The sequence below is a fragment of the Homo sapiens genome, chromosome 3 (assembly GCF_000001405.40).
Source record: "Homo sapiens chromosome 3, GRCh38.p14 Primary Assembly".
Classification (NCBI taxonomy): domain Eukaryota; kingdom Metazoa; phylum Chordata; class Mammalia; order Primates; family Hominidae; genus Homo; species Homo sapiens.
Window position 1 is genome coordinate 109,915,429 of NC_000003.12, and position 23,054 is coordinate 109,938,482.

Genomic DNA, 23,054 nt, shown 5'->3' on the forward strand with positions numbered 1-23,054 from the left:
TGGCTGGGCGCGGTGGCTCACACCTGTAATCCCAGCACTTTGGGAGGCTGAGGCGGGCGGATCACGAGATCAGGAGATCGAGATCATCCTGGCTAACATGGTGAAACCCTGTGTCTACTAAAATATACAAAAAATTAGCCAGGCATGTTGGTGGGCACCTGTAGTCCCAGCTACTCAGGAGGCTGAGGCTGGAGAATGGTGTGAACTCAGGAGGTGGAGCTTGCAGTGAGCTGAGATTGTGCCACTGCACTCCAGCCTGGGTGACAGAGGGAGACTCTTGTCTCAAAAAAAAAAAAAATATATATATATATATATATTTTTTTTTTTTCTTTTTCAATACCTTTAAAATCTAAATTTTTCTTTAAAATCATTGATGAAAAAGATTCTCAAGTCAGAATTAACACCTCAATTAGTGAAGCATCAGGAAGCTACATTACAGCTATTTAATATACAAAGATACATCTTTCACCAGTCATTTTCTTCTGATGTCTGTGTTCCAGAATCATACAGACTCTTATTTCTCTATACCCTTCATTCCATCATTTCTTCAGATCATGTAAACTGAATTTGTTGAACACCAGAAATCTGTTGTGTAAACCATAACATTTTGTTGCTGACCATCTGTGGTTATTAAGCCAGCTGGTAACTGGTTAGTAAATGCCTCTTCTGTAAGCTCTTCACTTAGTCCATCTGTAGCTGTGACTGCTCCACCAACTCCCTTTTCTCCTTTCATAGCCTCTCTGAATTTTTGAAGATATAATTTCAGAGGTTCCACGTAACTGTCTAGGCCTAAGGTAGACATGGTGATATGGTTTGGCTGTATCCCCACCAAATCTCAACTTGAATTGTATCTCCCAGAATTCCCACTTGTTGTGGGAGGGACTTAAGTGGGGGTAATTGAATCATGGGGGCTGGTCTTTCCTGTGCTGTTCTCATGATAGTGAATAAGTCTCGTGAGATGTGATGGGTTTATCAGGGGTTTCTGCTTTTGCTTCTTCCTCATTTTCTCTCATGTAAGAAGTGCCTTTCGCCTCCCACCATGATTCTGAAGCCTCCCCAGCCATGTGTAACTATACGTCCAAGTAAACCTTTTTCTTCCCAGTCTCGGGTATACCTTTATCAGCAGCATGAAAACAGACTAATACACATGGCAAACAGAATGTCTTCTCCATTGATTGTTTTCTGTTTCTCTTGATGGCACCTTTCACTTGCTTCAGATGTTATAAAGCTGATGAGCTCACTTACACATTCTTGAACACATTCTTTGACATCTTTTGCAATCTTTCCTGTTTGAGGTATGGCATTTTTCATTATCCTAGCCACGTTTGTTATTGGAAGATACATATCTTGTTCTCTGAAACTTACTTTTGAACCATTTGTGTCCTCTTGATCACTCATGCTCTCCTCAGTATCATCATGAGGCTGTATAACATAATGACTTCCTCCAATATAGTCTGCACAGGTTCCTAGTTGAGAGGCATCTGTTGTAGAACTGTCATCATCCATTGTCATGAAATATTGTCGAAACTGTTGTCAGTGGTGCTGAAGAACACCTGTCTAAAATGGTGTCTACTGTTTGCTATTTCAACCTCCAATGCAGTCCTGGTTGGCTCCCATCTCCAATCTGCTGTTTTGCTGGAGCTGTTCCTGAGGCAATTCTGAGACTAAAAGTTCATGATGTGGGTTTCCACACACTGCTCCATCCTTCTGAGCAGGAGCTGCAAGTTAGTCCTGCGTCCTATCTGCCATCTTAATCTTCTACTCATACATATACATACATATATTTGATTTCCATCATCTTCTTCTCTCTATATTTTCTTAGCTTTTTTCCTTAAAAAATATTTTTTGTTCCAGTTTTTGGTTTCTCCTTTTTACATTGAAACAGTTTTTAAATAATTGTTGATCTTGATCTTTCCATTCATAGTCTATTCATATTCAAGAGGCACCAAAAAGCTCATTAGAAGTCAAATCTCTATGGGGAGAGTGGGCCTGTTGTTTGGTGGATTCATGAACACCATAGTGTTTGGAAAGAGAGTCAGCCTTTTAATTGAAGGACCTACAAAGTGTCACAATAGGAACACTTTTTTGGGGGGGAGGGTATAGATTTATACCCAAGAATCTCTTTTTTCCAGCTTTTTGTGGTAGGGTGCAGAGAGAGGAGGATCCTTATACTCAGTTGCTGGAATCCTGAGCGAGGCAAGGAGAAGGACAGAAAAAAGAGAAAAGAAAGTGGAGAGAAGTTTGCATACCTCACTGTATTTTTCATTCACATACTCTCTCCTGCTCTCTGCTGTGCTCTGTTACAAAGTCCAGAGCCTTCCTGAGGATAGCCGACTATTCTCCTGCCAGTGAAGATGTATGTGAGAAATAATCTTCTGGCTACAGGCATGTAGGAGAGGATCTGGGTGTTCCAACTCCCATGTTTACAGTCATCTAACTAATCTTAGTCTTTTCAGACCTCAACCCACCCCACCTTCCTTGGCATCTGGTGCTCCCAATAGCTGAGGCTCTCAAAGGCTTTGGGAGATTACCTGATGGTTTAAGTTTACCTTCAGCACCTGGATTTCCTTACTTTGCCCAAGAGAGTCTGTTACCATGACTCCTTCTGCACTACAAGGACCCTATTTGTCACTGTAGGTTAATAACAATTTTTATTTTCTTCAGTATCATTTCTGCATTTTACTGCCAATACCTCAGACTATAACAATATAAGCCATCTCCCTTTTCTTCTGATTGTGTTATCTTTTCAAAGTATTAGGTTGCTGCAAAAGTAATTGCAGTTTTTGCCATTACTTTTAATGGCAAAAAAACTCATGTTTTCATACATCCTATTGAGCAGCAAAATATTTTAAAAATGTGTCTGGTGTCTGGAGTTCATAAGTGATCTCTAATTCTGACTTATAGTATAATACTAAAAATATTCACTTTCTCTTGTTCTGCAGAATTTTTTGAGGCCATAGTACTGGTACTTCTATATTTAGTTAGCTGCACTGTACATACTGTTGTTTAAGATCTCTCCTAAATTCTACAATATTATGCTTATTTGTGCAGTTCTCCACAGCCTTTTCTGCTCAGCCCATTTTGCTGGGCTGTGGTGGGATCTTCAAGTTCTTTCCACTATGAAATGTTTGAACTCCTTGTATTAATAGATGAAGTGCCAGAAGATGGCTATTTCCAATAGTCTTCCTGAGTTTCCCTCTTTTACTTTTCTTTCTCTTTTTGCTCTCTTTTTCCAAGTTTTTTCCTGAGTTCTTATATAGCACTGCCAGCCCCCTGCTATTTCCTCCCAAGTCACTTTCAGGAACTTACTATCTTTTTCTGGCTAGAAACAGGCATTCATTGATGAGTATAGGTATATCAGACTGACTCCAGGGGACAGTCAGAGTTCTCACACATATCATGGATGGCTGCTTATTTTCATCAATTTTCAAATTTGTGCAGCTGTTGCCTTTCTGAGCCTTTGGGCTCAGAAGGAAGAGAAGAATGGTGAACGTGGTTCTTGCTTTCATAATGCTCAGCATAACACCGATGGGTCAATGTTTACATATATATTTAGGGGATTTCCAATGAATGTCAGCAATAGATGTATTTCTGCTTAATTTTCAGTGCTATTTTAAATTCTGGTTATCTTTTGTCTCAGTAAATATTTTAAGGGGGAAGTCAGGAGATTTTTTTTGTCTTTTACAAAACACCATATAAAGTGAAGATTTCATATAGTCTTATTTACATTTAAAACAGTGATGCTAGTACATTTTCGTTTACTCACCACATATGGTAAACGTGGTTCAGTAAGAGTAAAGGCAAATTTTGGAAATAGTTCCTAATATAATACATAAACAAGTGGGGGTCAATGTTTACTGTATTTTAAGATGGACAAAAAAAATACTTTCTTACATTTTGCCTTCCAAACTCTTCGTAGTATGTAAAACTCCTAGGGCAAAATGTCATTTTCAATGCTTTGTAAAAAGAATACTTGATATTGGCCAGGCACAGTGTCTCACGCCTGTAATCCCAGCGCTTTGGAAGGCCAAGGCGGTCAAATCACTAGGTCAGGAGTTCGAGACCAGCCTGGCCAACATGGTAAAACCCCGTCTCTACTAAAAATACAAAAAATTAGCTGGGCGTAGTGGTGGGTGCCTGTAATCCCAGCTACTTGGGAGGCTGAGGCAGGAGAATCGCTTGAACCCAAGAGGCGGAGGTTGCAGTGAGCCAAGATAGCGTCACTGCACTCCAGCCCTGGTGACAGAGTGAGACTCCATCTAAAAAAAAAAAAAAAAAGAATACTTGATATCTATGAAATAAGGTGGCCAGAAGGAAAAAGGAGTCGTCAGATGTAGAAAAAGACACATTAAAGTTTTATTTTTAAGTTCCACCAGAGTTATTTGAATATACTTTTTAGTTAACTAAAGTTGTAATTGTTATCATAGGCAAAAAAGAAAATTAAAATAGTGAGTATATTACACCTCATAAAGATGGAAACAAGAAATATCTAATAGAAAAACTTTAGCAGCCAAACGAGGTCTCTCTGACAGTTGTTTTTATTGACCTGTGGTAGAAAAATAGCATCAACATTCATTTCCTGAGTGCGGTGCAGTGTAATAGTTAAGAGCAGAGTTTTGGGAATCAGACGATACCTTAATGTAATATTGAGAAAATTATTTAAGCTGTCTGATAAACTTTTAGATTCTCAAATTCCTCCTTTGCAAAATGTACAATTATAGGTTTTTATTAAGGACTAAATGAGGCAATGTACGTAAAGCATATGGCAGTACTTCCTACACAGTAAATGCTTAATAAATGGTGCAAGTTTTTTAAAAAATATGTTCTATGAACTAATACTCTGAGAATTTTTTTTAATGAATTTGGATCTGTGACTTTTGAAAATGTGCCTTCCTTTCATCAGGCTGGTTGGCCAATGCCATGTGGGTTGCCTGTTCTTACTTGTTCAATGGAACTAGTAAAAAAAATGATGTTGCTTTGATTGGAGAGAAATGAGTTTCATATCCCTGATTTCTAGAATATTGTGAGTGTGTAATAATTATTTATTGAATTAATACCAAAAATTAAACCAGCCCATCTTTATTTACTAGATCCATTTGTGTTTAACCTGTAGAGTATCTAAGTAATGCTTGAGTATTACCATTTACCTCTAAACTTCACTCTTCAATATTAATATAGATGAAGGGTATTGATATTGATTATTTATCTGTGTAATTATGAGTTGAAATGCTCCCCCTGTTCTTCAGGTAGAAGATAATTTAGACATTTTTCATGTAAAGATTACCTCTGATTTTCTCTGAAAAACTGCAAAGAAGAGTTTCATATCTCCCTTTGTCTCTTTTTCCAGTAGGTGATGTGTGAGGCACTGGGCTCATTAAGGGATTTAAAGGACAACAATACATACTCTCTGTCTCTAAAAAGCTTGTGAGACCTTTGGAGATATAAGCTGTAGAACTCAAAAGCTTTCAGTGAGTTAATTGAATAGCATGCACAAACTCTACAGATAAAGGAAATAGGAGTGGACAGATATTTCATAAAGAATTTGAGACTTGAGTTGAGCATTGAAGGGGGGTTGGCAAAGACTGTAATGTAATAAAGAATAAGAAGAAAGCAAGTGAATGAGCAAAGCAGGGGACACAAGAATAGGCATCGCACAGTCAGCTTTCTCGAAACAATTATAAACCAGTTTTCTCTTTAAAATGAGCATTGTTTTCTTTTCATTACATAAAATTTGTTAACAATGAGTGTATTTTAATTTGATGGTGTTCCTGGAGAATGATATGAATATATTGGTACTATAAACATCAGGAAGGAAAGAATTGATAACACATACGAAAGAACCATAAACTAGAATGCAGGCACATTACAGGTGCTCAGTAAAATTTTCAAGGTTTTCCTTCTCATCCTTTGGATCAGGCTGTGTTTATTATATTTTTTGGAAATCCACTTTAAACTATACCAAAAAAATTAAAAGTAATTCTAATGAGGTGGAGCTGTAGATTGGCTTCTCTAGAAAGCAGATGCTGACATGAAGGTAAGTCTAGAAAAATAAGTTTATTATTACATGCTTTTATAATCAATACCTGTGGAAGAGATGGAAAAGAGGCAGAATTTGCTGAGGGAAGTTCAATCCCAATGCAGCCTCAGTGAAGGTTTTAGCAAACATCACAGGTTGCTCTGAAGTGGGGGTCAAATTACTTAGCCCATGTTGTGGTCAGAATGAGAGCTACCCTAGGAAGGAAAGAGAACCCTAGTTGAAGCAGATTCCTCCAATCAAAGGCAATTTTTTTGAGAGGTCTGAGAGGTGACAGCTGTTAGCACTCTTCCAGTTTCTGGAGGAATTAGTCTTTCAATACTGTGTCACTCTCCAAGGGCTGCTGTCACTTCACTGGAATAAAGGAACTACGGGGCCTGTCGTCGTCTGCTCGAGCTTCCATAACAAAATGCCACAGACTAGGTGACTTAAAAAGCGAATTTATTTTCTCACAGTTCTGGAGGCTAGAAGTCCAAGATCAGGGTTTCAGCTGATTTGATTTAGGTTAAGGGCTCTCTTCCTGGTTTGCGTATGGCCACCTTCTTGCTATGTCCTTATGTGACCTTTCCTTGGTGTGTGCAAGGAGAGGGAGAGAGAGAGAGCAAGCTCTCTGATGTCTCTTATAAGGACACTAACACTATTGTATTATAGTTACTGACATACCTTTTAAACAGTCTTAAGTACTTCTTATATTTAATTTATAATTTAAAATAAACTTTTATTTCTAAATATGGTCAAAATTAGAAAGTTTTTTGGTTGTGTGATGTAGAACATAAAATTTCCTTGAGTTGTAGTTAGAAATGATAATAATTTGGACTGTTTTTCAGAGACAGGTTACAAAATAGTTGAATTAATTAATAGTTGTGGACAAAAGCATTTTTTGTGATTACAAATGTTTGGATTAAATGAAAATGTTTACAAGCATATACATCATAATATGCCTCCATAATATCTGACCTTTTGATAACAATCAAACATGCGCCCTGTTCAACTATTAATGGATTGGGGGGAATGAGGTACTTAAAGGAAAATAACTCTCTTTTTTCCTTTTGAGTATTTATGTGACAGTGCAATGTAGAAATAAAGCAATTCTTTTGATGTTTGGATATAAAAGAATTTGAAAATCTTACCCCGTGCAGTGTAAGTGAAGAAGTGAAGAAATCTTTTATAGATTTTGTGGGGGTGGGGTGGGAGTTTCAGATAGTGGATGGAGAGCTGAGATGAGGAAGTAAACATTTTAACACTGTAAAAGTCTCAATATTTATTGAGACTTTCATGTCCTATTTGCCTTTACTTCCTGTTTTGTGTTTAGTAGTTTACTGATAATAATGAAGGATAAAGTTTTGAGACTCTTCCCTAAACCTGACTCTGCTGGCAAATTGTTCATAAAATCCACAGAAAACTATCTCCCAGGCATAGTACTGAGGATCTAATAAAATTTTAATCTCCTGTTTCTGAAATATTTCAGCTGGAGGGTAGAGAACAATTCTGTTGCTCTCCTCTGTGACAGATTTATGTGTTCTTTAGAGGATGATAAGCAGTAGAATTTCTTTTCTTTTCTTCATTTCTTTATATGCCAACTTTTAAAGATTCACAGTTGAAAAATGTCACTTGTCACATTCAGTCACGAATATTATCTTCCTATTGAACATGGAACATATCTAGTCATTGTTCCTAAATGGATTCTGACCTGAAGGATAAACAATCACTTTTAGGTCATCTTTGGTGAAGTCCATATGAACTAGTTGTTCAGTCCTGCTGAAGGCGTTTCAAATACATTATCAATTGTAAATACTCATCTTTATTTGTGTCGCAAATGAAAGCTTGGAAAACCACATGTTATTCTGTGATATCTATATATCAGCATATCTGTATCTGTATTTATTCTTTCAGGTAATTAGTCAGTCATGGATTAGCACATTACATGATTGGGGGCTAACATTTGTAAAACAGCTATAAGACAAAGAAATTATTTGGAGTCAGAATAATAAGGATGATTTATAGAAGAGATAGATTAAGAGTAAATCCTTGAAGGATAGAAATATTTATCCTGAGAATGAGGGCACAAACCAAGTGTGGGAACAGAACTAATTAGAGTACATTTCAGAAACCATGGGAAATTTGGCTTAACTCTAAATTGCCTTGAGGCACTGAGTCAAAAACAGGGCCTGTCTGTATCTAGCTCACCCTTTCACTTCTCACATCCAGCTTAGGGCCTATGGTAAAATAGATTCTCAAGAGATATTGTACGAATGAATGTAAATCGAGTGAGTGAACAACAGAGGTAAGGCTGTAGGGGTTGTGCTTATTTTCTGACCATCCTTAGATACGTATTTGACTTTGTAAGGGAGGCTTGTAAGTCATTTCATCCAACTGACCACTTGCCCTTTTCTGCCTGACAGCCAGATAGATATACTAGTGGCTTGATGTTCAATCCACCTTTCGTCTACAATCTTACGGCCTCAAGCAGATAATGCCATATTGCCATAGTGTGACTCATGTGCAAACTAGTGTTTTCTTTGATTGAACTTTTAGTGTGAGAGGTTACCGATATTCAGTGCTCAGAGCAAAATCCAAAAAGAAGCTGAAAAGACATGGGAAAAAAATAGGTCCCACAAAACAAGACATTTTCTATTGGTCTGTGCTTCACACATATTCTTACAGCAAAGACTTGCTCAGGAGCTGAATTGTCATTTCATCAGGAAAGAGTTTTATTAGTCAAGAAAGCACCCAGGCTGGTCAATAGAAATATACTGTGAGTTGACTGGTATTTTGGCCTGTGTCTAAATTTCACACTCAAGGCAGCTATGGAAGGGAGCATGAGAGTCTCTGATTCAGATGAAACAGTCAGAGAACATTAAACCTGCTTTAATTTTTGTGAAAGTTTTGCAACCCTCCAGAGGTAGATTACATTAATAGGTAATCTACATTAATAGGTTAATGCTTAACCATTTCCCCACCTGTATGTTTATAGATCTCCTTTCTCTTCCTAGAGTGTTGTGAGATGAATGGTTGGGAAAGAGAAATATGATCACATTGCTCTTATTTAAAATCATTCAACACATCCCTGTGGGTTTCAGCATAACATCTGAAGTCTTTAGAATAGAGTACAAAACTCATCATGTACCCCACATTCTCCTTTCCTGCCTTGCCTTTAATGAGTTTGTGAGTACCTACTATGTGCCTGGAACTGGGCTCCTTGCCAGGTTAAAAAGGAATACGGACCTACTGGATTGTTCCCCCCCCCCGCTTTTTTTTTTTTTGTTTTTTTGACAGAGTCTCGCTCTGTTGCCCAGGCTGGAGTGCAGTGGTGTGATCTCAGCTCACTTCAACCTCCGCCTCCTGGGTTCAAGCAATTGTCATGCCTCAGCCTCCCGAGTAGTTGGAATTACAGGCATGCAACACCACGCCCAGCTGGTTTTTGTAATTTTAGTAGAGATGGGTTTCACCATGTTGGCCATGCTGGTCTCAAACTCCTGGCCTCAAGCAATCTGCCTGCTTCAGCCTCCCAAAGTGCTGGGATTACAGGCGTGAGCCACCATGCCTGGCCTGTTCCCCCCTACTTCTCAGACCTAATCTAAAGCACATTTAATGGGCTCATTTGCCTTTTTCCATAATAATTTTTATGCCTGCCTCTCCCCATTGCCCTCTGTTTTTTACTTGATTTATCCCTACTCATTATTAAAAATTCACCCAAGGCCCAGCTCGCCTGTTCCCCTCTGGGACCCACAGGCTGTATGCACACACTCTGCATTTCCAAAAAACATTGTTTTCTTCCTTGCATTTAGCTTCTAAGTTACATGCTTTTCTCTGAGAGGAAAGTCTGTGTTTTCGTCTTTATCCTCAGTAACTTGCACAATGCCTAGCTCATAGTTGGTGTTTAATAAATGTTACTTCGCCTCTTCGGTTTTCTTAGAGGTCATCCCTTTCTGAATCAAATCTTACTTTTCGGATGGTTACTTTGATGATGTGGATTTTATTCATTTCTTTGGCAAATATTTCTTGGAAATCTACTGTGTTAGTCCTTATATAGACATATTTCACACCTGATTTCTTCAGCAACAATGGTGTTGAAGAAATGGAAACTCAGCTGTGATGTTGCTAGTCTTACCCTTCCTATGTGCCAGGAATGCTTCTCAAACTAAGGCGTATCTGACTCCAAATGCTCTTTTTTTTATGCCACGTTTTTTTCCTTTAGGGTAAAGTATAATTTTAGGTACATCTTATATAGAAAGTAAAAATATACTACAGTTTAAATTCTATCATAATTAACTCCTTAAGACCTCTAAGTTCACTTGCCATTTGATCATTACAAGCACACTGTTAGAAATCTATTTAACTGTCAGGATCTGAACATCAGAGAGGAGGCACTTAGGGCTTTATTTTTTGTTTTTCTCTTTGTTAATAAATTATCAGATGAAAAACAAAATAATATTTTGTTCCCAATAGAGGAAAGAGAAGTTCAATGCAAGTGACGCTCTTACTCCTTCCCCAAGCTTGTGGGTTGAATGTACTTACGCTGGTTGGTTTAGGGAGTTGTTGCAAGTTTCTCTCTTCAGTCACGTCTTTAAGGGGCCTGCAGGGAATAATTTTTCCCCCGTTTCCTCTCTTTGTTATAAATCTTATATAAAATGAGGAGTTTACTTGACACTGTACATGTTGTGGAAACAAAGATGGATGAATGGGGGCTGAGGCCAGTGGAGAAAAGAATTAAGCAAGAGTTGATGTTTACCAGTATTTGCATAGCAGATTAAAGATGCCTGAAAATTATTTGACCTTCCTCCCATAGAGAAATGAGATTGATTTTTCCTTCCCTTGAATTTGGGTGGACTTTGTATTTGCTTTGGTATAATACAGTGGAAGGGAAACATGCTTATTTCCAGGCCCAGGCTTTAATATATCGGCAATTGCTACTTTCAGTTTCTTGGGACTCTCACTCTAGGAGCCCTGATCTTCCATGTGAGAAGCAAAACATGGTGACCACATAAAGAGCGCCTGTGGCTATGTGGAGGGGAAAAGGGCCCACTGAGTCTGGTCGTCCAGCTCTCCTTGCAAGCTGCCCGGCTTACGCATTCCCTTCCTCTGCTCACCCCGCAACCCGCACTAGCCCAGCCGCCACCTGAATACCATTGAGTGACTGCAATTGATGTTACAGTCTTTTGCGAAGATAAGAATCTCTCAGATGAGTCTTTTCTGAATTCTTAACCTCTATTAAGCCACTGAAGTTTGGTGCAGTTTGTTAACAGTGATAGATAAGCAGAAATGTTTGTACCTAGTCATCAATTAACAATTACTTTAACTTATTCCACATCTACTGAGGAAATCACTGAAGCTAGTTGGATATATCATATCTTCCTTCATTTTGATGATGGTGTCACCAGAATATATATGTTAACTAGAAGGGAAGATATGGATTATTTGTGTGTGCATATATTTTTTAATCTTTCTAACTGATGGCAATCATAATATTTATTTAACACATTATATTTTTTCACACCACATTTACAACTATTATTTCTAAATCTTTCTACCATCAGTCTAGTAAGGTCATTTGTCAAGTCTGAATTATGCCATCTTGCAGATGCTGAAACTGAGGCATAGAGGTTAGGTTAACTCCCTAGGATCACATAGCTAAGGTTTTCACAGCACACTGGGTAAAAAAAATGTTATTCAGAAATTAAATTAATGTTAAGATGGTTATCTGTTTAATGCTTGTCACATCAACTAAACTTTAAGCTCCAGGAGGTCAGAGAACTTGTCTGTCTTCTTTAACACTTGAAGCGTAGAGCCTAGCCCAGTGCAGCCCGAGAAAACACTCACTTGGTATTAGTTGAATGAATAAATACATAAAGAATGCTGGGGCTCTGACTAAAACCTAGGTTTCCTCATTCAGAGGTTGAGTTTCTTTTAGTCACACTCCTGAGTTATGAGACAGGGTATGAGTCACTTGGGAATTTCAGTTAGAAGGCACAGGCACCAATCATGCCCTCCCCTTCCCCTGTTCCCTTTCCATCAAAGCATATCTTTGTGTGAGAAATAATGTTTTTGAAAAATCTTCCTAGTCATTCTGATATACCTCCTGTTGAGAACTAAAACACAATACTACCATTCTTTCTCTTAATCACATGTTATTCTATGTAAAAGAAGTGCTATGAGAAAATGCAATCATGTATGCTTACAAATTCTGAGAACATTAAAGTTAAAAGAAGGAAAAATAAGAGACAAAACAATGCCAGAAAAATGCACTAAAATGCAATTAACAATAATTTTTTTGTATGTGCTTAGTGAGTGTTTATCATATTGATTTTCAATTTTCAGTATTTTGATCATTTTTTTGGAGACAGTAGTTTTATAATTAAAAAGAAAATACCCCCAAAGCCCAGTACTCTGCCTTAATGATTAAATGAATGGAAGATGGAAAGCAAAGGGAGAATCTGAGTTAACCAGTCATCAATGACATGGGAAGACAATTCACTAGGAGGTATTCAGCACCTCTGAGCTAGTGGGGACTGTATCTCCAGTAAGGGTAGGTATGTAAGTTGCTTTCACTGATGCTTTTCTAAATGCTTCTGAACTCTGAAAGGCCCTTGAACTAAATGTCAGTTCCTATGAATTAATGTTGGTCTTCAGTACCTACCAGCAGGTCAGCACACTGGCAGAGAAAAAATAAAAAACAAAACAACAAAACAACAACAACAACAACAAAACAAACAAAATACTGCTTCTCAGGATTCCCAGCACAGTGAGAACAACTGGCCAATACATTTAGGAAAAAAATGCTACAAACCTTGTATTGTTCGCTACCCCAAATTCATAGATAGGCTCTTGGATGTGAGTGTCTGAAATGCTGTGTCCCATAGTTAACGGTTCATCAGTCAGGATTAGGGTAAAGGAATATTGATACTTTAAGGTAATTAGAATAACGTTTCTCTTTTGTTTCGGACAAACATAAGCTTTTTCTTTCTGTAGTCAGAACTGTCCTCTCAAATAAGAAGGAAAGAAAATATGAAGAGAGGTAGAGTAAGGAAGGAGGTAGAAAAGAGAGAGAAGGCCGGGCGCAGTGGCTCATGCCTGTGATCCCAGAACTTTTGAGAGGCAGAGGCAGGTGGATCACCTGAGGTCAGGAGTTTGAGACCAGCCTGGCCAACATGGTGAAACTCCGTCTCTACTAAAAATACAAAAATTAGCCGGGCATGGTGGTGTATGCCTGTAATCCAAGCTACCCAGGAGACTGAGGCAGGAGAATTGCTGGAAACCGGGAGGCAGAGGCTGCAGTGAGCCGAGATCACACCACTGCACTCCAGCCTGGGCGACAGAGCAAAACTCTGTCTCAAAAAAAAAAAAAAAAAAAAAAAGGAGAAAGGAGGGAGAGAGGGCAAGAGGAAGAGAGAGAGAAGGAGGGAGGGGAAGAGAGAGATAGAGAGAGGGAGAGAGAGACCTTAGCTCTGGAAAAATAGTTTTCTGGGAATACATATGTATATATTCACATACCTCAGTGAAAATATTAATGAATTAGAGTTATGTGAAAAATAAGGTGCTTTAAGAAGATTGACTAGCTCTAGTACTCATTGTCAATTGACTTTCAATTGATGGTACCTCATATACCAAATACCAAATTAGAAGATAACACCAGAAGTTGCCACATGGGTCGTCTCAGCTATAACTGAGGAAGAAGATAGAAAACTCACAGCATCCTAGGGGATGTCTGTAAACGTATAAATGGTGTCTTACACATTTCAGTTATCCTAACAGAAGGGCCACTCTTCCAGAGAAGGTGGACTGAAATTCACAAGGATGGCTCCTAGACACCAAGAGAAAGTTTAAAGATATCCCATATAATCTCCTTATTAGGTTTGGGAAGTGTGCAACTTTCAAAGATGTTATTTTTCATATCAAACTTAACTGTTACAAATATTTGGGGAACCATAAATATTAGGATTAAAAACATTCAAAAGCTCTTCTTTCAAAGACAAATCCTATTCACATTTTGGACTGTATCCTATTTTTTGTTATATTTAACAGAAATTAATCTTGTTAAAGCAACATTCCATAAAAAAAACTTACCTGTTTTGTCCCACTGTTCTTGTTTTCACGGATGCAACATGTTCTTGTTCTTGTTTTCACGGATCCCATTTTGGTCCAGCAAGAAAGTAACTTTCTAAACTAACATGAAAGGCTACTTTAACGTGGACTTTAAAAACAGCAAATGAATTTATTGCAAATAACTGAACACAGACCCGGGGATGATTCCATGTATGAACAGATCCCATATTATTATGAAGATTACATTGGTACAACACACCTTATATACTTTGAAGAATACATAAAAGAGTCTGCTATAAACTTTTAGTTCTCACTACCTAAAAACAGATAGAAATAACTCATGACCTGTCTCTAAGAAAGTAATCACTGTTACAACTCATCCTGAATTCCTTCAAATTTTACTGAACCTCCTTGATATGCTTCCCATCATTTGTTTATCATGCTGGTTTATGCTGTGATGTTAACTTTTTTCCTCTTTCTTTCTTTCTTTCCTTCCTTCCTTCCTTCCTTCCTTCCTTCCTTCCTTCCTTCTTTCTTTCTCTTTCTTTTTCTTTCTTTCTTTCTTGTTTTTCTTTTCCCCTTCCCTCCTTCCCTCCTTCCCTCCTTCCTTCCTTCCTTCCTTCCTTCCTTCCTCCCTTCCTTCCATCCTCCCTTCCTTCCTTAATGGAGTCTCACTCTGTCGCTCTGGCTGGAGTGCAGTGGTGCGATCTCGGCTCACTGCAACCTCTGCCTCACGGGTTCAAGTGATTCTCTTGCCTTAGTCTCCCAAGTAGCTAAGATTACAGGCACGTACCACCACACCTGGCTAATTTTTGTATTTTCAGCAGAGACAGGGTTTCACCCTGTTGACCAGGCTGATCTCAAACTCCTGACCTTAAGTTATCTGCCCACCTCTGCCTTCCAAAGTGCTGGGATTACAGATGTGAGCCACCATGCCCAGCCAATGTTTATTAGAAATAATATTTTAAGGTTTTATTCTTAGTCATTGAACACTGTATAATTGAAGTTTACTCAAATAAGTCTCTATTCAATTAATTAAAGTGCACTCCCTTGACTACATTTTCTAGGATGCTGTACTGCCTAAGAATGCCTGCTTATCCACTTAATTCTATAGCCGTCTTCTAACCTCAGGGCTCCCTGCCTTTCGCCATTTTATTTTCTTCTCAATTAGTATTTTGTGTGTGCGTGCAGCAGGGGCAAAAGGGAACATTTTAGATATTTTATGTCAGGAGAAATAATTTCCTCTTTAGGATTTGAGGTATTTGAAAAATGGGTCATGTTTTTTGTTTAATCTAGTGTCCCACCCCACTCCACTCCCTCTCTGTCTGCAGCAGCTCTGTAAAGTGATATTGCCTGATTTTGAATATAACATAATTTCTTAAAGATTGCTTTTAATTTTTAACATAATAGTAATTATGGCCATATAACATATTTTTATTCTTCCTCTTTCCACTTATTTTTTGTACCCTAAACACTTTTATACTTTCCATAAACTTAAAATCATTATTTTTAATTGTTTTTGAACCAAAGGTATATTATATTCATTTTTATTATGTCATAAAATTAATATAAGTCTAGTAAGGCTAATTTCAAATAGAAGTAAAAAACAAAGTTTCACAACTCATCTTCTTTATGATATATGAACAATATATATGTGTGTGTTTATATATATACATATACATATAAATATAAAATACAAAGCAATATGTTTATATATATACACATATGTATATATTATATATGCACATATATTTATTATATATTTTATTATATATTATATATACACACATATAAACACATGTATATAAATATTATATACACATTTATATTATATACACATTACATTATATTATACATTATAATATATATTATATACACATTATATATTTATATATATAAATATATATAAAAACATATTGCTTTGTATTTTGGCATTTGCTTTCTGAAGTGGGAATTCTAGATGCAAGTGCGTGGACAACAAGGTTTTCTAGGTCTTAGATTCTATATAGATGCAATCATACTTCAGCAATGTTTGTCCAGCTAGCTGTCCCACATTACCTATATGATGATTATATGGGTAATATTATTTTTGTCTATTATTTAAAGCTTTTTAAAAGATAAGTTTTTCTTACAACAAAATTAATAACAGTGTTTTGTGAGGTTTAAGCCATATGAAGAAGTAAAATGTATGACATTAGTCCTAAAGCAAGGAGATGGAAGAATACTCTCATTAGTTTGTTATATTGGATCTGAAATGGTATTATATCCCTTGGAGATAGGCTGTTACATACAAGTAAAAGATGTAAATTATATATCTGAAAGCAAGCACTAAAATAACACAAAAGTTATAACTAATAACCCAATAAAGGAGAGAGAATAGAATTATTGAATATGATCAGTTAATTCAAAGGGCAGAAAAAGAGAAAAGAGAACAAAGAGCAGATGAGAGATATAAAAACAAATTACAGGCTGATAGATTTAAACATAAGGAAATCAATAATCACATTAAATGCAAATGATCTAAACACACTTATTTAAAAGGGAGACTCACACTGGATATAAAGAGAAGGTCCAGCTACATTCTTCTTAGAAGAAAGCTTTGGAAAACAGAAGAAAAACCACTGACTTATGATGCCAGTGCCCCATCATTGCTTTTATAGTTTGTATTTATTTCCTTCTAGACTTTGTTTCATAGGTATGGTTTACTTTGTTGCTATTGTGGTATGTATACAGCTTTCTTTTCTGCTTTCTCACTTAACAGTACGTTGCTATATGGTAATTAGCTAAAGCTCATGTTTCACAATAGTCCATTCTTTCTGTAGCACTTCAGAATTTAGAAGTAAACTTCCAATATTAGACAAAATTTTTTCAAAGCTGGCCGACATAATCAGCAATAGTATACAAAATAAGAGAGGATCCTGTTCTTAAAAAATTAAAAACACCATTTCTTACAATGCTTATCCTTGAGTGAAAGTCTTATCCCAACAAAGGCTGATGACTCAATGGTCCAGTGGAGTCATAGATTCTATGGTTGTTTGAATCTGTGTATGTGAAACCCATGGATATGAAGGGCCAACTGTGTGTGTGTGTGTGTGTGTGTGTGTGTGTGTGTGTGTGCGCCCATGTGTGTGTATATGCATTTTTTAATCTTTGAAATTTATGTTCATATTTGGTGCTTTAATGTCACATAGAGTATATTATTACATACTATTCAAAGTTGTGAAATTTTAAATAAGTAGCTGCATTTGCATGAATGAGTATAAAATTAAAAGATAATTTGTAAGCATATTTTCAAAAGGTAGATGTGTGAAAATGTGTTAATGCCTGGCAATAGTACAAAGAGGGTAATATAGTTAGAAATAATATAAAAGTTATTGACATTTGGGATCCTAGTGAAAATATTATGGTTTTGGAAGTTAATTTGTTGTTAAGTGAGCTACAATTAATATAATTAGAAAACATGAGAATATTATCAGGTCAGTGCTAAACACAGTACCTATTAAATTGTGAATAAACTTGCTTTTTAAAATAGTAAAAACTGGTCTTTCATACTATGTCATGAAATACTGCTGATATTCTTTTCATTCATTGGGATTTAATTATATTTTTATTTTAGTATGAAAATAAAATTTGTGATAAGATTCTATAAGTTCAACTACATATCCTTAAAAATATATTTTTCACAGTTGACATGGAAATATTGTAATTTCCAAGGAAAAAATTTTAGAAGTAGGATTACTAAGTAAAAGTCTAGGAACAATTTGTATGGCTCTTGATGCATTTGCCAACTTTACTTTTTAAAGTGGTTAAACCAATTTACCCTTGTGAGCATGCAATCATCTGTGAGTAGGTAAGTTCCACTTAAACTTTGTCAACATTTGGTAGTGGCATCAGTTTTAGTTTTTGCTTAGCTATCAGATTTCTTCTTATTTTAATTTGAGTACATTAATAAGGAGTTGAGTATTTGAAGGTACCCCACCTATAAACAGTTTTAATTGTTAGAAAATCGTATTTATAACTTGCTGAGATATGTTTGTGTTAACACACTCCCTTTTATCCTAGATCAGGATTGTTATAGAACACTATTTTCTCTTTTGAATAAACATCTATAAATGTATCATCTCCAGTATTAAAATAAAAAACAAATTCAAGGTTTTAGCAGAAAGTAATTTTCTAGAAAGAAATTGCACAGGTTGGAGGTGGAGGCTAGGTGCTGACATTCTTTCTCTTCATCATTTCTGTCACAGTGTTTTCATTCTGTCATGAGAACTACCATTACCTTGTCAATCCACCAACCTTCCAATATGCCTCTAAAACTTGGTGAGCATGGACTGAAAGTCCTTTCCCTTAGATTGTCTTAGCACCACTAAGGACAGAAAGAAAATAATTCGGGAGGCAGCTTAGCATTTATGCTATTTTTTTTTTTACATGAACATGTCATAAAATTCAAATGTACAAAAAAGTACACACTATAAATTGGAAAACATGTTTTCATCCCACTTTTCCTTCTCAAAGATAGGCAGTGTTACCTTTTAATGCACTTACAAGCAAATTCTGCTCCCTCCTCCCCGGCTCGATATAAATGATTGTATTTTTTGTCTGACTGCTTGGAAAAGATCAAAAGTTTTGGCCTCAGCAGAGACTTAGTAAATGGCCCAGCCAGACTCAAAAGTATCTATGTGACTTTCAGTAAAAGCAGCTCACATCGCTGAAGTTTAATTTTTTTATTTGTAAAAATGAAGGAAATTGTTACCTCAGAGGGTTGCTTACCTCAAAAAAGTACAAATAAACCAATTCCTGTAACATAGAGGTTGTTTAATAAATTATAGTTAACGCATTTGTTATGATTACATATATTATTGCTGTTTTAATTAATTTCATTGTTAAGAGACAGCAAAACCCAGAAATGATTAGAGATCATTCTAAAAGCATGAACAAAGAAAAGTATCCTTGGTAAGAGATTCCGGTTCTAAATGTCAGAACAATGAGCAAATAGCATTAGTTGGCTTTTAATCCCCATAGATGTAAGGAACTGCTTTCTTGTTCTTATCTAGATTTCTTTCCTCCCGCAATATAATTGTTCACAGCATCCTCTCCTAAAACAAATAGAAAAAAACACTTTGATTCAAAATCTCTAACCTCTTAGCTTTCTTTCTCTGCTTGTATTAGAGAAACTTGCTAATTGACTTTCCACATCTTTCTGTAATAAGATATATCAACTCCACTCATCACTGGGTATTATTTATGAAGACTTGCTATTGTTTCCCCAAGAAGAGAAGTGATTATAAAATGATCACACCTTATCCATGCAAGACCCAAGAGAAAAAAGCTCCAACTCATGTCTGGTGATTAGCAGAGTGCTTCGTATACATAGGTACTCATTAAGTAATTATTGAGGAAATGAATTGCTGGCACACAAAGCAATTGGAAACTCTCACTACAGCAACTTGACTATGGCTGGCACATGTCCTAATTCTTCTTACAAAAAAATCCACGGTCCTTTCACTATTCTTAGGAAATGATCATCTCTCATATTCTTAGTCTTCTCCTCTACATGGTTGTCACTCGGACTCATTATACAAAGAAACAAAGATAAAGAGCGTTGCACACAAACAAAACAAAAAAATCAGCAAAGCAAAACTCCAGAGGCTCTGCATACTGACCTCACAGAATGCACCAGTTTTATTTCTTGATTTGAACATTATATTTGTACTATATGATATTATATTAGCTATTTTCAGGTGTGGAAATCTCCTTTTCTGTTAATATTGATGTATTTAATTTTTTTTAAAGTTTTACTTTTTTTGACAAATTATAATTGTATGTACTATGGAGTACAATGCTAATTTTGATATATGTATGCATTGCAGAATGATCAAATAAGGGAAATTAGCATATCTATTACTTCAAAAATTTACTATTTCTTTGTGGTAAGAACATTTAAAATCCTCTCGTTTAGCTGTTTTGAAATATACAATACATTATTATTAACCATAGTCACCTTGCTGTGCAACAGAACACCAGAACTTATTCTTCTTATCAAACTGTAATTTTGTACCCGTTGACCAAAGTCTCCCTTTTCCCCATCCACTTTCCCTTCGGGACCTACCCCAGCCTCTTGTAACCACCATTTTACTCTCTACTTCTAAGAGTTTGGCTTTTTAAATTTCCACATATAAGTGGCATTATACAGTATTTGTCTTTCCATGTGTGGCTTATTTCACTTAAAGTTATGTCCTCTAGGTTCATCAGTGTTGTTGCAAATGTTAGAGTCTGCTGTATTTAAAAGCGGAATAGTATTCTACTGTGTCTATACAACATTTTAAAAATCAATTCATCCATTGATAGACATTTCAGATTTTTCTTTATCTTGGTTATAGTGAATAATGCTGCAATGAACATGGGAGTGTAGACATCTCTTTGGCATACTTATTTCAATCTTTTTGGGTATATGCCCAATAGTGGGATTGCTGGATCATATGTTAATCCTACTTTTAGCTTTTTGAAGAACTTCCGTACTGTTTTTCAATATGGCTACTAGTTTACAATACCAAATGGGATTACATCAAACTAAAATGCTTCTGTACAGCAAAGGAAACAATTAATAGAGTGAAAAGACAGTCTACAAATTGGGAAAAAATATTTGCAAATAATTCACTGGATCAGGGGCTAATACTGAAAATATACAAGGAACTCAAACTACTTAATAACAAGAAACTGACCCTGTTAAATGTACACAAAGGGCTTGAACAGACATTCTCAAAAGAAGACATACAAATGGCCAATAAATATATGAAAAGATGTTCAACATTTCTAACTGTCAGATCATGCAAATCACAACCACAATAACATATTACCTCACACTTATTAGATTGGCTATTATCAAAAAGAAGAAAGAACAAGTTTTCAACATTAATAATTTTTTGCCTTTCTTTGCACTCCCCTACCCTTCTGAAAGCAAAAGAGAGGAAACTGAAGATTGTTTCTTCTCCACTGGTCATTTAAGGTTTGTTTGCTTACTTTTCTCAGCAAAGAAAGAAAATTGGGAACAAAAATAAATATTGTACTTAAGTTATGAAACTGCTTTAAACAAATCTCTCTCTCTCTCTTCTCTTTCTCATTTGAAGGTAATTCTTATTGTGCCATTTGCTTATTCCTAAATCCTGTCATGGGCAGAATATTCTTACTACAACTATCATATTAAATTCTTTCCCCATTTTCTGTTGAGAAATGTAATTATCATTTATAGGGATATGTCACAAGAAAGCATGGAATGTATATTATATATGTAAAGACTAGACTTGTGATAATATTCATAAATAAGTAACTCTCCGCAAATCCATTAATTAAAATCATCCTAATATTTCTATTGTGAAGGATAATGAAGGATAGCAATTTAGCTTCTGTTCTTATTCTGTGTCTTAATAAGATTGTTATTGGAGTGATTGCTACACAGGGATACCAGGAAATTTGCAATTGATTTTTATTTACATGACTGTTCTTTTTCTCATTCAAGAATATTGTCTCAGATAAGCAGTAATTACTGGAATCAAGAAACTCTTTATTACAAGAAACTAAATAATATTGTTGATAATGGAAGGATGATCTCAGTGGATGAGTTCACTAATATCTGTCTTTTTTTCCAAACCTAAAACTCTTCTCTTGTATTTTAACATTTCTATGCTAAAAGAATACTACTTCTATTGTATAAAAATTAATGTGTACATTATAAAAGTTCCAAATATAAAAATATGACTCCTTTGGAATGAGTCTTAATTTGGTAAAAAATGTTTTGGAACATGCTGAAGTTTCCCTTTGTTTGTAGCCTTTTCACAGTGTTAGATCAAAATGGGAAAGGAAAGGGGTAAGAAGGCAGTGGTAAGGAAGCTACAGAGCACATGTTTTAACATTCAAAAATTAGCACATATTTTTAGACAAATAAACATGAACTTATAGGGAAAAGAATATTTGAAATTATGGCTGTCATTGAAAATATGAAAGATAAGTCATATATATATTTTTTTGCTTTTATGGTCTTCTGTAAAAAATCTGAAATGATGAAAAGTTAAAAAGTATCACAATTAGATTTCTTTTTGCTTACACAAATGTTTTAATGATCAAACACATCTGCTTAATAAGCATCAATTTACTAATAAAAGTGTTACATGTGCTAAGGAAGAAAAGGTATTTATATACTATCTGACAGAGAGGAATATTACTCAATTTTATCTTGTAGTTTATTCAACAGTGACTAAACTCCAAAACTTTATCTGTTTCAAACATATTTTCAAATGAGCTGGGAGATACAAATAAAATATAGTTCAGGCTACATATTGGGCTGTTGGGGGCAATAACACAGATTAATAGAAAGGATTCTTCTTAGAAGGAGTAACAATTTAATGAATGACTTAATTTTGTAGCAATAAGTAGTATTTAAATTAAAAATGACCCTCCACTTATTTATCAGTTTGTTTTACTAAAATAGAGTCAAAATAGAGGAAAACCTGGCATGGGCAAGTAGTCCTCAGGGACAGTCTGAAAAAACCATTAGGGCTTTGGAAAATTTTCATGGACTTGAATAGAGGTGAGGAATGATTATTTCAACACTAAGTCTAGTGTCCATCATATAGTGCCAGTCAGTTCATGTCAAATAAAAGAGTGGATGAGTGAACAACTGTCAGAATGAGCAAACACATCGGACAGCAGAGCTTGAGTTTAGGCAGCAGTGCTATGATTCTTCTTTGAAGATCATCAATCTACTTTGCCTCTCAGTTTCCGAATAATGTAGTTGCAAATAAGCATGAGGAAGCTTAATCATATTTATTTCTGTCTTTATTTATATTTTATGTAATATATGATATAGTTAGAGGAGGGGGCATGAAAGTATAATACACACCCATGAACTCACCATCCAATCTGAAGAACCTAAGGACAAGAACTGGACCTCTATTGCAAAAGCTACTTATGTTTGTTATTC

The 23,054-nt window shown here is 35.8% G+C and overlaps 1 pseudogene, besides 1 other annotated feature; it reads right to left on the minus strand.

Moving 5' to 3' along the window:
- Window positions 1-355: 355 nt before the first annotated feature.
- Window positions 356-1,640, minus strand: NFYBP1 (NFYB pseudogene 1; annotated as a pseudogene).
- Window positions 11,107-12,306: an enhancer, noted in NCBI's record as "P300/CBP strongly-dependent group 1 enhancer chr3:109645382-109646581 (GRCh37/hg19 assembly coordinates)". NCBI's record gives its function as "activates an origin of replication core promoter dependent on BRD2, BRD4, P300/CBP, MED14 and CDK7 cofactors, with strong dependence on P300/CBP, by STARR-seq in HCT116 cells {active_cell/tissue: HCT116}" and the evidence as "EXISTENCE:reporter gene assay evidence [ECO:0000049][PMID:35650434]".